Genomic DNA, 14516 nt, shown 5'->3' with positions numbered 1-14516 from the left:
AAAATTAGTATATCCAAAAGGAAAAATGTATCATTTTCCCACTGAAGCCTTATGCCAGTTAATCAGCCCACAATTCATTAGGTCCTCCAAACTAGACATCTCAGGTTTCTTTTATTCCTACATAATCCTGTATCTTACCTCACCTATAATGATCTAGGAATCATATTTGGCTCTCTGTAATAAAAACCCCAAATAATGGCATAACCCAGCTTAAGTTTGGTTCTTTATTGTTAAAAGTAGGAGCTGAAGGTTCTGTTCCACAAAGCCCTTAGGGATCCAGGATCCTTCCATTTTTTTGTCTACTAGCCTCAGGCTATACCTCCTATCTAGTTCAAGACAGCCTAATACCAGGTCTACACTCAAGCCAGTATGAAGTAGGAAAAGAAAAATCTGAAGGTACATCCCCTTTTTTTAAGAGCATGACCTGGGAAGTTGCAGATCCTTTTGCTCACATCCCACTGACCAAAATTTATTCACAGTGTTACATAAGGGAGAGTAGTAAATATAATCCTTATTCTGTGAGAAAAAGATCCATTCATATAGAAAAACAGAAAGAATACATTAGGGGACAGCTGGCAGTCTCCAACATACCTATTCCAGAAAAAGGCCAAGTGGCTTTACACTCTTCTTCAAAATTATTGTCAATTGCTTAATTCAATCCTCAGAATCTTTCATAATCAGGATAGTCTTTAGATTCTCCCCACTAGTCCTTTCTTCGGCAAAGCTACAGAGCTTGTCTTCATAAAACACTAATATAGTAAAGTCCCTCTCCCCTGCTTAAAGTGCTCTACTAGCTCACAGTTAGGTCCCAAGTCTTTAGCACAGAAACAATCTAGCCCCAACCTGCTTCTCCACCATTATTTCCCATGCTCCTCTATAAAAGATTCTTCACGCCATTCTTACTGAACTTCTCACCATTCCAGAACATACCAAGCTATTTCATAACTTCTTGAGACTGCACTTGTTATTACCTCTGCCTGCAAAATACTTTACTTGCCCTTTGATAAGATGCAGTTCAAAATTACTTCCTTTGTAAAACTAGGCAGAACTATTTAAAATAACCACAAATTCCTCATTCACAAATATATTCATTCTTTCAACACTCATTGAGCGCTCTGCTCGCTTTCTGATAAACCTGAGAAGATATATCCACATCTGAATCTTAAGGTATCACTGGAAGTTGGTTACAGGTATAGGAAAATATGTAGAACCATCATATAAGAGTATATGTACTCTTTTATGTATCTCTCTGCTCACATGGCAAGTGCAGAGGAGAAAGGCAGGTGTAATGAGGAATTTTTGAGATTAAAGTACCTAGCAAACATGAATCAAGTAAAAACTTTCAGGACATTTGGCAGGCTGCCTCTAAGATGGACCCAATAAACCCCACCTCCTGATCCTCATGCCCTTATGGAATCCCCTCCTTTTGAATGTGGGCTGGACCTACCGACTCACTTTTAATGAAGAGCATTTAGCAAAAGCAATGAAATGCCAATTCTGAGATTAGGTTATCAAAGAAGTCTGGCTTCCATCTTTCCCCCTCTCATGGAAACCAGCTGTCCTGTAGTGAGCTGCCATATGGAGGGGCCACATGACAAATAACTGAGGGAGGCCTCCAGACAACAGCTAGTGAAGAAGTGAGGCCTGCAGTTCAACAGTCCACGAGGAGCTGAATCCTACCAAGAACCAGCTTAACAATCCTACCAACAGCAAGCTTAGAGGCAGATCCTCAGCCAAGCATGGTGGCTCATGCCTGTAATCCCAGCACTCTGGGAGGCTGAGGCAGGTGGAATCACTTGTGGCCTGGAGTTCAAGTCCAGCCTGGCCAACATAGCAAAACTCCATCTCTACTAAAAATATAAAAATGTGCTGGGTGTGGTGACACATGCCTGTAATCCCATCTATTCAAGAGGCTGAGGTGGGAGGATAGCTTGAACTACGGAGGTGGAGACTGCAGCGAGCATAGATGGCACCACTGCACTCTAGCCTGGGCAACAGGGTCAGACTCTGCCTCAAAACAAAACAACAACAAAAAGAAGTAGACTCTCCGCAGCTGTGCCTTGAAATCACACCCCCAAGTAATACTTTCACTGCAACCTTGTGAGAAACCTTGAGGGAGAGGAGACCAGTAAGCCATGCCTGATTCCTGACCCAAAGAAAGGGAGAGATCATAAATATTGGTTTAAGCCATCAAATTTTAGGATATCTTGTTACACAGGAATAAATGACTAATGCAAGACCAAAAAACCAAAGCAAAGATGCATCCTGTGAAAAGAGATCTGATCCCACATATCATTATTAAAAAATGCTTAACAATATTTTAAAAATTCACAAAAATCCCAGGGAAGAAAATATAAAGTCTCTGAAGCTGCTAAAACTGAAAATGCATAGCCATGAAGTTCCAGCAATATGTTCAAAACTACAAAAAATGTCCTTTAAAGACTCAAAAACTTTCTTTAGGGAAAAGAAGTTTGATACCCCTTGAATATAAAAACGTCCTCATAGCTTTATACGATCTTGGCTAAAGAACCTTCAAGACTTAGTACAAAGAAGGTACAAAGAAATTAACTTATTTTTTGACTCAACTGTAAGTTATGATTCCTTATAATAATTTATTCATGAAAAGGTTGCCTCAAGGCAGGATATGAATATACAGTGAGACACAGAAATATGTACAATAAAATTTACTATATTTTAAAACTTTCATATTTTTCAATACATTAAAATTTGGAAAAAAATGTTTCAACAGGGAAAAACTAAAGTAAAACTCTATCATAAAATAACTAACAGACCATTTTGAATATCTATGCCTATGAAAAGACTCTGGCACCACAGAAATAGTCCAGTTAGAAAACCTGCATTAAAAGTATCTCTTCCCTACACTCTTCAGTGACTAATTCAAAAAATTCAGTCTGAAAGTCTATTCTCTTTGGATTCATAACTAGAAGTAACAAAAAAACACATAGTTTATTCAAAACGACATAATAGAGTTATTTTAGGGGCAATACGCTTTAAATATTCCTGTTAAAATCATAAGTAACAAAAAGGAACTTTGCCTAAAAGACCATCAAGTTGAGCCGCAGTCTAGGCTCAACTAGAGACAGAAGTGCCATTTAGACTACTCAGTGAAACAAGAGACATAAAGGAGTGATCATTTCAGCAAACACACTTGAGGTCCACAAAGTGTACGTAAATACATTTTTTTTTTAAAGTTTAAGACCAAACCCATGCCTACAACTGAGAAAGCTTAGAGTGCAATACTGTAAACATCATAATACCCTTAAACATAAAAATACAGGCATGCCTCACTTAACAGGGATACTTTCTGGGAAACGAGTCAGTAGGTGATTTCCTTTTTATGGAAATATAAAGTGTACTTACACAAACCTGGATGGTATAGCCTACTATACACACAGGCTCTATGGCATAGCCTATTGCTCCTAGGCTTTAAACCTGTCCAGGACGTTACTGTACTGAATACTGTAGGCAACTGTAACACAAAGGTAAGTATTTGTGTATCTAAACATGTCTAAACATAGAAAAGGTAAAGTGAAAATACAGTATTATAATCTTATGGGACCATCATCATATATGTGGCCCACTGATGACCAAAATGTCATTATGCCGTGAATGACGGTAAATTACAGTAAATGATGTACCAATTTTACACCAGTGACATGATCGAAATGATGGACTAAGCAAATCTACACTTTTTTTGCAGTGAATCTTCACTGCAAAGATAGTAGTGAAATGCACCAGTGAGCCCTAGTGCATCTTCCTTCCTTAACACATAAATATGATGCAATGACACGTGTCAATGACAAATAATTAATTAGCGCTTCCAAGAAGACTTTAATAGTTCCATACATAAGCCTTTCTAAACCCCACCCAATCTTCGAAGACCACTTAAAGGTCAAGTTCAACTGCTCCTTGAAGGGATCCAAGAATAATTTCATATCTCAGTAGCCTTTCCCTCTTGGTAGCATTTACCATTTAGCACCTAATAATGTACTGCACTGCTCAGCATTAATTGTACATTTGTGTGTTATTTCCTTAATAGCAGCTCATTTGAGACTGCAAATATGTCCTGAGGTTGCAAATCACAGTTTGAGAGAAGTAAAGAAAGTGGGATGCTGCCCTGAGTGAGCATTTACTGAGCATCCACTTTGTACTGTACAATGGGCTACTATGAATTAAAAATATTAAGTATGTTCTTTAAAATAGTGTGAGGTATCAAATATAAAAGTAATTTATAAAATAGCTCATGATGGTGCCTTCCTTAACATTAAAAGAATATCTTAATAATTCTCTAATGCAGACTTTAATTTTATCTTCATTTTAGATTCTAATATCTAGCTCAACTTATGTTATTCCAAACTTACCTACTAACGTCTAGTCAGAATAAACTTCTCCCAGATTCTCTACTGCCACTCTTTACACCGCAACCTCATATTAATATATACATATTTTTAATTACTGAGCACACACTAAATATACCATGTACTAGGATAAGCACTGAGGCTTCCAGATCAAAAACTGACATGAACTTGCCTTCATGGAGTTTACAATCTAGTTTTCTCAGGAATAGCTAACTTAGTAAGTGCTGGCTAGAAAATGGATCAAAAGCATAGGGTCCTGACTCACTTTGGGAAGTAAGGAAAGGCCTCCCTGAGAAAGTAACCTGAGATCTAAAAATCAAGAAATTTACTAAACATTTCTCAATTTCCAGGCTACAAAATAAGCCTACCACCTAATTAATGTGGAAGTTAATGTTTAAATCAGAAAATCAAATCAAAATATCCTCCTTGCTCCCAGAACAAAAGAGAGAATATGAAATAATACTGTTAAGTACAGATTTTGATCCAATGTCAACAAACACTTGCATCACTGTATATCTCTGGATACAGATAATCAAACACTCTTTGCAACGAAACAACATCTAAAATCAACAAGTTGAAAAATGATTGCCTTGCATACTGGTACTTTTTAATGGCAAAATGATGAGAACTAGCAAACCTAAATAGCAAATGAAAAGAGAAGCATTAAAATAAGCTGTAGAAAGAGACACATAAACAGACTGGTTTTAACTCTCTTTAACTTCAGTCAGAATGGCCTAACCAAAGTTTGAAAGAAGAGTTTAAAGAGAAGAGGTCACATATTATAATTGTTTTTACTCCTGTAAAAGTAGACAATAAACGTACTAAGAAAGAAGTAGCGTGGTTTAAACTCATCTCACACGCAACCCCATTTAGGTCTACCCAGAATAATAACACAGGAAATTAATATGTCACTAAGTGAGACTTCTATCAAAGACCAGAATATTTGGGATCATAATGAAACAAAGATATAACTATGAAGGAAGGACTAGTTCTTTCCAGAGATAACAGTAAGCATAGTCTCCCAAGAATATTCAGATGGGAGGCAATAAAGAAATAAAGGTGACTGGCCTGATCAATTTTAGTGACACAATTCTACAATAAAAATAAAAATGTTTACCTCATTTAAAATTTCCTTCTGACTGAATAAAACTTTGAAACAAAAGCATTTTGAAAAACTTTTGCCAGGTCACACACAAAATAGATCAGTTTTTCCAACTTAAATACAATAGTACTTGCCTTCTATCTTTTCTAACACATAGTACAGGCATACAGCCACTGGAATTCTAGCACAAATTCATGTTTATCCTTCTCATTCCTGGGTCTTTTATAAGAAGTGAAAAACAAGATTGTAGCTAAATCAGTTTGACAGGTTTACTGTATTTCTACCTAAATTAATTGCTCCTGGGAGAAACAGATTTTCTTGTTGGCCTGGCCCTGAAAAGGAGCAGGCGAATAGATTACCTATACACTTAGATGAACAAAAACTCTGTGCCAGTCCCTGTCAGAGGCATTCTTTTTCACTGACAAAGTTATACAGCAAGAAAGAAGGCACTGTCTTGTTTGAGTCAATCCACCAACCACCATGACCACCCCAACAGACATACAGCTTTCAAAAACCCTTATCAAGTAATAAATAATGGGGCCGGACACAGTGGCTCAAGCCTGTAACCCCAGCACTTTGGGAAGCTGAGGCAGGCAGACTGCTTGAGGTCAAGAGTTCAAGACCAGCCTGGCCAACATGGTGAAATCCCGTCTCTACTAAAAATACAAAAATTAGCCAGGCGTGGTGGTGCACGCTTATAATCCCAGCTATTTGGGAGGCTGAGACTGGAGAATTGCTTGAACCTTGGAGGCAGAGGTTGCAGTGAGCTGAGATAGCACCACCATACTCCAGCCTGGGTGACAGAGCAAGACTCCTACTCAAAAAAAAAAAAAAAAAAGAAAGAAAGAATGGATAAATAAACTATACGTTTCTTAAGTATTTAAATTAGGATATTTCATTTATAAGCCTTCATAAGTCAGTTTTGGGATCTCCAAATGTACTTTTGGATTAGATTTAGCAGTGATTTAGAAAATAGTCACTACTTAGCAAGCCTAGGTTTCAAGTGCTGAACATAAAGCAGATGTCACACACGCACAAAAAAGAAAATTCCTTAAAGTGTATATTATGTAACAAAGTAAGACAAAAAATAACATTTGGTAATAATTCATCCTTTAGGTCACAAAGGCTTAGCTGAGCTACTTATTTATTTGTAACATTTGCTGTGTGTTCAAGTTTTAGATTAGCATTAACTATTTCAAGCACTCAAAAAATGTAAATAAATTCAGTTGGCCCTCCAGGCTTCACATCTGGGTATTCTACCAACAGAGGACAGAAAATATTCAGAAAAATAAATAAAAAATAATAATATAACAATAAAAATAATAAAAATTTAAAAAACAATATAATCACTATACAGCGTTTACATTGTAATAGGTATGGTTAAGTATGACTTAAAGTATACAGGAGAATATGCACAGGCTACACGCAAAAACGACACCATTTTATATAAGGGACCTGAGCATCCATGGATTTAGGTATTCGAGTGTGTCCTCAACTAATATCCCTCGATACCAAGGGACAACTATAAAAAGCATAGGAATCTTTTTAAAATTTGGTATATCACTCTGTATTCTAAATTAAGTTCCTCATAGAACACATTTAAGCATAAAAAATGAAACCACACAGATCTCAGAAGAAAAGATTTTCTTATTTTTTTGTAGAGGAGTCTCAGAGAAAGGTCTTTCTAAACATTATATAAAATTCAGAAGATTTAAAATAACAAATCTACATAAAAACTTAAAAGTCTGAACTTCAAAACATAAACCAAGCTAAAAACAAACTACAAAAAACTTGCAACACAAACAAAAGAGTTAATTATCTTAAGAAGTTATTTTAAGATTAATATGAAAAAGATCAGCAAAAGATATATACAAATCACAGGAAGACTAAAAACAAGTGTTATTTAAAAGCTGGAAAAACTTTAAAAACAAAAACTTCAATGAAATAGAATTATTAATGTGTAATATTAACAAAGAGAAAAAATTATTCACATTGCATTAGTGGGGGTGTGGGTGTATTAGTAATCTTATAGTTCAAGGGGGTGCAAGCCAGTACAGTCTTCTGGAAGGCAATTTGATAGTACCCATCAGGGCTAAACACAGTGGCTTCTGCCCACTATCTCAACACTTTTGAGAGGCAAAAGTGAGTAGATCATTTGAAGCCAGAAGTTCGAGACCAGCCTGGACAACATAGTGAGACCCTGTCTCTACAAAAAAATCTAAAAAATTAGCCAGGAGAGGCTGTGTACCTCCGTAATCTTGGCTACTGGGGAGACAGAGGCGTCAGCCCGAGTTTGAGGCTGCAGCGAGCTAGCTATGAGTGTGCCACTACATGCCACGCTAGGTGACAGAGTGAGACTCCATCTCTAAAAAAAGTTTTTTAATAAAATAAAATAAAAATAAAGATAGTACCCATCAAGATAAAAATTGAAATAGAATTTCTTGGTCAAAAATCTTTTAACCAGCCGGGCACAGTGGCTCATGCCTGTAATCCCAGCACTTTGGGAGGCCGAGGCGGGCAGATCATGAGGTCAGGAGATCGAGACCATCCCGGCTAACACGGTGAAACCCCGTCTCTACTAAAAATACAAAAAATTAGCCGGGCGTGGTGGCGGGCACCTGTAGTCCCAGCTACTCGGGAGGCTGAGGCAGGAGAATGGCGTGAACCCGGGAGGCAGAGCTTGCAGTGAGCCGAGATCACGCCACTGCACTACAGCATGGGTGACAGAGCAAGACTCTGTCTCAAAAAAAAAAAAAAAAAAATCTTTTAACCAAGAAATTCTATTAATTTATTCTACAGACATATTTACACGTGTACCAAAGGGGGGATAAATAATCAATGCAGCAGTATTGCAATGTCTGTGGTAGCAAAAGAATGTAAACAATTTAAAGGTCTATCACAGATCGGGTTAAGTAAGTTACAGAAGCAAACAATGGAATATTCACTGTTTAAAAAGCAAGAAGTGGATCTATATGTACTTACATAGATCTATAAGATCAGGTAAGACAAAAAAGCAAGGGACTAAGGTGTCCAGTATACCATTTATGTAAAAAGAAAGGTTAGGGAACATACATATATGCTGGTACATACATATAAAGTATCTGAATTGATAGCTAAGAAACTGTTAACAGTGGCTGTTTCTCAAGTGAACCAGGGCATTAGGCAAGAGAGCTGGAAAAAGTCTTTTTGTGGCAGACGCAATAATGCTCTGCCCTCCTCCGACCAAAAGATATCCACGCCCTGATTCCTCCAGAACCTGGGAATATATTACCATATATGACAAAAAGGACTTGCAGATGTGATTAAGATCTTGAGATGGGGAAAATTATCCAGGTGGGCCCAACATAATCCTAAAGGTCCATGTAAGAGGAAGGCAGGAGGATCACTGTCAGAGAAAATGTAACCTTCTCTGGGGGAAAATTTAAAGATGCCATGCTGCTGGATTTGAAGAGGGAAGGAGCCAAAGAATGTAGATGACCTCTAGAAACAGAAAAATTCATTAGAGCCCCTTAAAGAAAGACAGCCCTGACAAACACCTTAATTTTATCTCAGTTAAGACTCATTTTTGAACTTCTGACCTCCAGAGGTTTCAGGAAATGAATGTGTTGCTTTAAGCCACTAAATGCATATCACTTTACTATGGCAGTTAATAAGAAACTAATACAATTTTTATGAGAAACCATTTTTTAGTGTTTTAAACCATGTACAAGTAATATTGTCTCAAAAAGATTGGTATACTAGGTAGATTTCCATTAATGTTTTTCTTTAGTTTTACTAACTTTCAGGAGCAAGTTTTCACTAACAGATAATCTCTATGAGATGTATTAAGCTGATTTGTTGTTGTGGCTCACATTTATAGATGTAGTCCCCAAAACACACAATCTCTACCATTAAGGTAGTCAGTAACAGCTAATGCCCCACAGTAATGTGCATGGATAAATGCACGGAGGATGATGGCACACTTTTCAATGGTATATAGTCTAGCTAGGGAGGGAAAGAAGCACACACAAGCTCTATGACAGGTTTATATAAAAAGGAGTATACCCATGGGTGCCTAGTAGTATTGTATGAGCCATACTTAAAAATACTAAAATCCTGGCTGGGCACGGTGGCCCACACTTGTAATCACAGCACTTTGGGAGGCCAAGGCGGGTGGATCATTTGAGGTCAGGAGTTCGAGACCAGCCTGGCCAGTGTGGTGAAACCCTGTCTCATTTGAGGTCAGGGGTTCGAGACCAGCCTGGCCAATGTGGTGAAACCCTGTCTCTACTAAACATACAAAAATTAGCTGGGTGTGGTGGCTGGCACCTGTAACCCCAGCTACTCGGGAGGCTGAGGCAGGAGAATCACTTGAATCCAGGAGGCGGAGGTTGCAATGAGCCGCGATCATGCCACTGGACTCCACCCTGGGCAACAAGAGCAAAACACCGTCTCAAAAAAAAATAAAAAATAATAAACACTAAAAACCTTTTTAATGCAGCATAAAGAAGTGTTGAGTGGAATGGATTAATTTGAAAAGATTATTTATATATAACAGGTAAACTAAATTTTGATATAAAGATATGAACTTGCTAAGCTCCAGCAAAGATTTACAATAAGAGAACATTAATGAGCAAAGTAACAAGGATGAACAACTATAAGCTGTACACTGTTACTATTTATATAACTAAAGTTAATAACAATAACATTTACTAAGTGCCAGGCACTAGACTAAGCACTTTACATTTAATTTCCACAATTCTATGAGGTAGGTACTATTGTTATCCCAATTAAACAGATGGGAGGTTAAGTAATTTTGCCAAGATGGCAACTCAGGGAAAGACAGGTGCCCAACTCTGTCCTTTGGGACCACATTCTGAGCTGTACTGAAAGAGGATGCAGCAAAACCACTAATGAGGTTATATCAAAAAAAAATGACAGAGCCAGAAATGAGCCAATGAAAACAGGTTCATATGCCACTCTTTTGACTTCTATGCCAAAGCAACGTACTTCTACTATACAGCCTGATAAAAAGTGAAGCTCTGATAGTCAAGGACAACTACAGTCAAATACCAATCTATCTCCCCAATCACTCAAACACAATGAGATGTAATTGCTTTCATATTCCACTCTGAAAAGGGGAAAAAAACTAACACTATAAAGAGTTGGAAATCCCACAAGCAAAGTGACAAGCAAACACTGAATTTACACAAATGTGTACAATCTAAAGTACAAAATATGCGTCAGCAGTGGATCAAAATAAAGCACAAAAAACTCGCGAAACAACGAAAGAACCAGACTGTAAGACAAAAATGGCATACAATGAAAAGAGAAAAAAATGAAAAGAAACAAAGAGGCCACATTGTGGACACAATATCGTAACTTCTGACCAGATTATAAACTTTTAAAATTTTGCTTTTATTAAAAATTAATTGAAAAAAATTTATAAAGCATGTTTCTATGCAAGAATTACTCTCAAGAACACAACGATTACGTAAAAAATAGGCAAGAAACAACATACTGTTTCAAAATACAAATATATGTAGTAACTATAAAGAAAAGTAGTGAAATTATAAATACAAAACTTAGATAATGTTTGCTTCTTAAGGTTTCCTGAAAGTTCAAAGAAGGTAACACAGGGCTTTCAAAGGCTATGTTTTATTTCTTAAAACTACAAAATGGGTAAACGAGAATTCCTGAAACTGTTCATCTTTACACTTGAAATGTGCTTTAGTAACACTCTTTTGTATCTACTCAGTTTTTAATAAAAACAACAAAACTGCTTCAGTGCCCTGGAGCGAATGGGGGCGTAACGGCAGGATTCAGGGCACTAACGAGAGGTGAACGGACGCCGAGGAAGAGGCGACTAAGCCCACATACTGAGTCTACCCAGGCCAGAGAGGCAGAGGTGTGTAGGGCCAGCGATCTCAGAAGTTTTGCCAAACTCCTCGATGCGTTACAATGGAAAGGTGCCGGGTTTCCCCCAGGAAGTAGTGACTAGCGAGAAGTTAGGCACAAGGCAAAGAGGAGCAAGGCGACGTGTGAGCACTTCAGCACTCGGACGCGGAACTCTAAGGTCCAGGCGTTGGGCCTGGGACTCGCCTCCCAGAGGCTTCGCCCCGCACCCCGCACACTCCCTGAAAATAAACACTTTGCATCCTCCCCTCTCCTAGGTTCCCGAAACCGCACCCTCCCTCTCTGCCTGCTCAACAAGAGCCTTCCGGGGAACCAACCGAGCGGTTCGGGGGAGCAGGAGGGGGCCCACCATGGTGACGTCCTCGTGGCCACGGAGCAGCTCCGCACTCTAGACCCAGGTAATCTCACCAACCGCAGGAGCAGCAGCTCACAAGAGCACCCGGGCCGAATCCCACGTGGCGCCTGAGAAGCCCGCGCCGACCCAACCGGAACAGGAGAGGCGAGTGCGTTTCTCTAAAGCGTCCCCGTTAACTGAGACCGCGTCTTTTTCGCCCGTGTTGGGCTTTTAAGCTCTAGCCCAACGGACAGCCAGACCTGCGTGCTCGCCGGGAGCGGCGGAAGGGAGCTTGCGGCGGGAGGCTGAACTCTGCCTGGTGCTGAGTGCGAGGCTGGGGATTGGAGCCCGGGTGGAGACGCTACACGCTTCCGGCCCCAAGAGCGGAGCTTGCCCATCTGTCCCAGAGCACGACTCCAGAGCGCAGCAACCTCTTCAGACAAGAGGTTCCCTCTTGCGGGCTCCCGCATCTCAGGGGCTGGGACCCTCTCAAAAGGGCCGCTCGGTGTTGGCTCCCCGGAGCTCTTGCACGGCACAGGCTCCTGCCCTCCGCTTTTCCACGTACTAGATTACCTTGGGCAAGTCCTTTCCTGCACTGAGTCTTTTTTTGCCCTGCCCTGCCCTGCCCTGCCCTGCCCCGCCCCGCCCCTCTTCTCTTTCCTTTCTTTTCTTTTCTTCTTTCCCTCTTTCCCGCCTTCCCTCATTCCCTCTTTCTTTCTTCCTCCCGGGTTCAAGCGATTCTCCTGCCTCAGCCTCCCGAACAGCTGGAATTACAGGCCTCCGCCACCACGCCCGGCTAATTTTTTTTTTTTTTTTTTTTTTTTGTATTTTTAGTAGAGACGGGGTTTCGCCGTGTTGGCCAGGCTGGTCTCGAACTCCTGATCTCAGGTGATCCGTCCGCCTCGGCCTCCCAAAGTGCTGAGATTACAGGCCTGAGCCACCACGCCCGGCCGAGTCTTAGTTTCTTTATCCGGAAAGGCCACTTCCTCATATTCAAGGCCTCTGCCAACCCAGTTTTTGTTTTCTTCTCACAGCATGTGAGAGTCTTTGTTTCACCCATACATGTTAGAATTCCGTAGACAATGTAATCATTCAAAAACTATTTATTGAATGCCTACTGTGTGCCTGGTACTGGGGATACTCCAACAATATCCCTCACTCAGCTCATTTTCCAGGGGATGGAGGCATGTAAAAATATTATTTCAAATAATATAAGTACTCTAATAAAAATTAGCTGGCGGGGGCATGTAGAAAAGCTGTTTTACACATGGTGGTCTCTATAAAGTCCTCTTTTAGAAGTGATAATTGAGCAGAGACCGGAATTGTAAGAGAAAACTAGGCATGGGAAGAAGCTCCAGGCAGGGTGAAGCTGGTGTGCCTTGATATGTGTGTGCAGCTGTTAACAGTTGAGGGTAGTTGGCTAGGTCCTTGGCGTTTTGAACAAATAATTGGACAAAACACACAAATAAAGCAAGGCAGCGAAAGCAGAGATTTATTTTAAATGAAAGTACACTACTCCACTGCGTGGAAGCAGGCTGTGGCAAGCTGCTCAAAAGCACAGGTTGCAGAATTTTCTGGGGTTTAAATACCTTCTAGAGGTTTCCCATTGGTCTTCCACAAGTCTGATTGGTTGAGGAAGGGGACCAATCTGAGGCACTTTCATTTTTCAACTGCCACACAGAAAAAGAAGGGCTTGCAACTGCCAGGCAGCAACTGCCATGCAGAAAAAGGAGGGGTTGAAGGGGAGTAGTCTTTCAACTGATATCCCATCAGCACAAATCAGTCCTAGCTTCCCTGCTTCCAGACCCTATTCTCCTGCCGCACAAATACTTGTATTTAATCGACAGATATATCAATTTTTGGAAATAATTTAAATTGTAAACAAGAGTGTGTCCAGAAGATTCCTGAATCTAGGGGCAAGGTATTTTCACATGGCTTTTTTTGTGTGTGAATCTATGCAATGAAGGTCACCTTTGAATATATACTGTGGAGGCAGCACATTCATGCATCACTTAAGGACGGGGATACTTTCTGAGAAATATTTCAATGGGGGTTTTGTTGTTTGTTTTTTGTCATGTGAATATCATAGAGCACACTTACACAAGCCTGCATGGTATAGCTTACTACCCACCTAAGCTGTATGGTATAGCCCATTGCTCCTAGGCCACAAACCTGTACAGCATGTTACTCTACTGAATACTGTAGGCAATTGTAACACAATGGTAAGTACTTGTGTATCTAAACATAAGAAATGTACAGTAAAAATATAATCTCATGGGATCACCATTGTAATGCAGTCCATGACCAAAACATTGTTACATGCACATGACGGTACTCTGTGAAAGACTCCAATTAATCTAGAATATTTACACCCTAGCTCCATACTTTAGCCACTTCCTGTGAAGCCATCTTTCACCCACCCTACCCCATTCCCTAAGTCTGGCCCTGTGGAGATCACCCTCCTAAGTTCTATGTTACTGCAAATCTTTTAATTATTAAATTTTCCTTCTGGCTATTTTAGCTGTTACTGATTGCTCTATTGATCATAAAATTCCTACCTACTCCTAACCCATTCCTAAACTTCAAATTGCCAACAACTCAATAAACCATATATCTTGAAACTTTTATTTTTTATTTTTAGTTGAGTTTTAGAAATAAATCTTCATATTTTCCTCATTCAGATTCAACCCCTAAATAACATTGATTATAGACATGTTAAAAATATACTGTATATGTTCAAAATACACTGTAGCAAATACAAACATGAATTATACAGAGCAAGAATAAAGATAATAATGATGGCTAA

The 14516-nt window shown here is 39.5% G+C and overlaps 1 protein-coding gene and 1 long non-coding RNA gene across 2 annotated transcripts in view, besides 4 other annotated features; one reads left to right on the top strand and one right to left on the bottom strand.

Annotated features, from left to right (window-relative positions):
* The window catches only part of TMA16 (translation machinery associated 16 homolog), a 25850-nt gene extending 14010 nt beyond the window's left edge, over positions 1 to 11840 (bottom strand). Inside the window, exon 1 of the mRNA NM_018352.3 lies at positions 11726 to 11840. Coding sequence (NP_060822.2) covers positions 11726 to 11728 — 3 coding nt within the window. The 5' untranslated portion in view covers positions 11729 to 11840. The remainder of the gene's footprint in view (positions 1 to 11725) is intronic.
* Positions 11047 to 11949: an enhancer, noted in NCBI's record as "NANOG-H3K27ac-H3K4me1 hESC enhancer chr4:164415733-164416635 (GRCh37/hg19 assembly coordinates)". NCBI's record gives its function as "activates a minimal SCP1, AML or CMV promoter by ChIP-STARR-seq in primed H9 embryonic stem cells {active_cell/tissue: H9 hESC(primed)}" and the evidence as "EXISTENCE:reporter gene assay evidence [ECO:0000049][PMID:30033119]".
* Positions 11264 to 11413: an enhancer, noted in NCBI's record as "active region_22101". NCBI's record gives its function as "activates an Ori minimal core promoter by ATAC-STARR-seq in GM12878 lymphoblastoid cells {active_cell/tissue: GM12878}" and the evidence as "EXISTENCE:reporter gene assay evidence [ECO:0000049][PMID:35858748]".
* LOC124900805 (uncharacterized) lies at positions 11306 to 14516 on the top strand. Its single transcript, XR_007058354.1, has 2 exons — positions 11306 to 11368; positions 11634 to 14516. It is a non-coding gene; the product is annotated as an uncharacterized LOC124900805 (long non-coding RNA).
* Positions 11444 to 11583: an enhancer, noted in NCBI's record as "active region_22100". NCBI's record gives its function as "activates an Ori minimal core promoter by ATAC-STARR-seq in GM12878 lymphoblastoid cells {active_cell/tissue: GM12878}" and the evidence as "EXISTENCE:reporter gene assay evidence [ECO:0000049][PMID:35858748]".
* Positions 13231 to 13502: a transcriptional cis regulatory region, noted in NCBI's record as "candidate enhancer chr4.3253 targeted for multiplex CRISPR interference". NCBI's record gives its function as "positively regulates TMA16 gene expression with high confidence in K562 cells {active_cell/tissue: K562}" and the evidence as "EXISTENCE:mutant phenotype evidence [ECO:0000015][PMID:30612741]".

Source organism: Homo sapiens, chromosome 4 (genome assembly GCF_000001405.40).
Source record: "Homo sapiens chromosome 4, GRCh38.p14 Primary Assembly".
Taxonomy (NCBI): domain Eukaryota; kingdom Metazoa; phylum Chordata; class Mammalia; order Primates; family Hominidae; genus Homo; species Homo sapiens.
The sequence above is the reverse complement of the archived record's forward strand: the minus strand, read 5'-3'. Positions and strand labels throughout refer to the sequence as shown.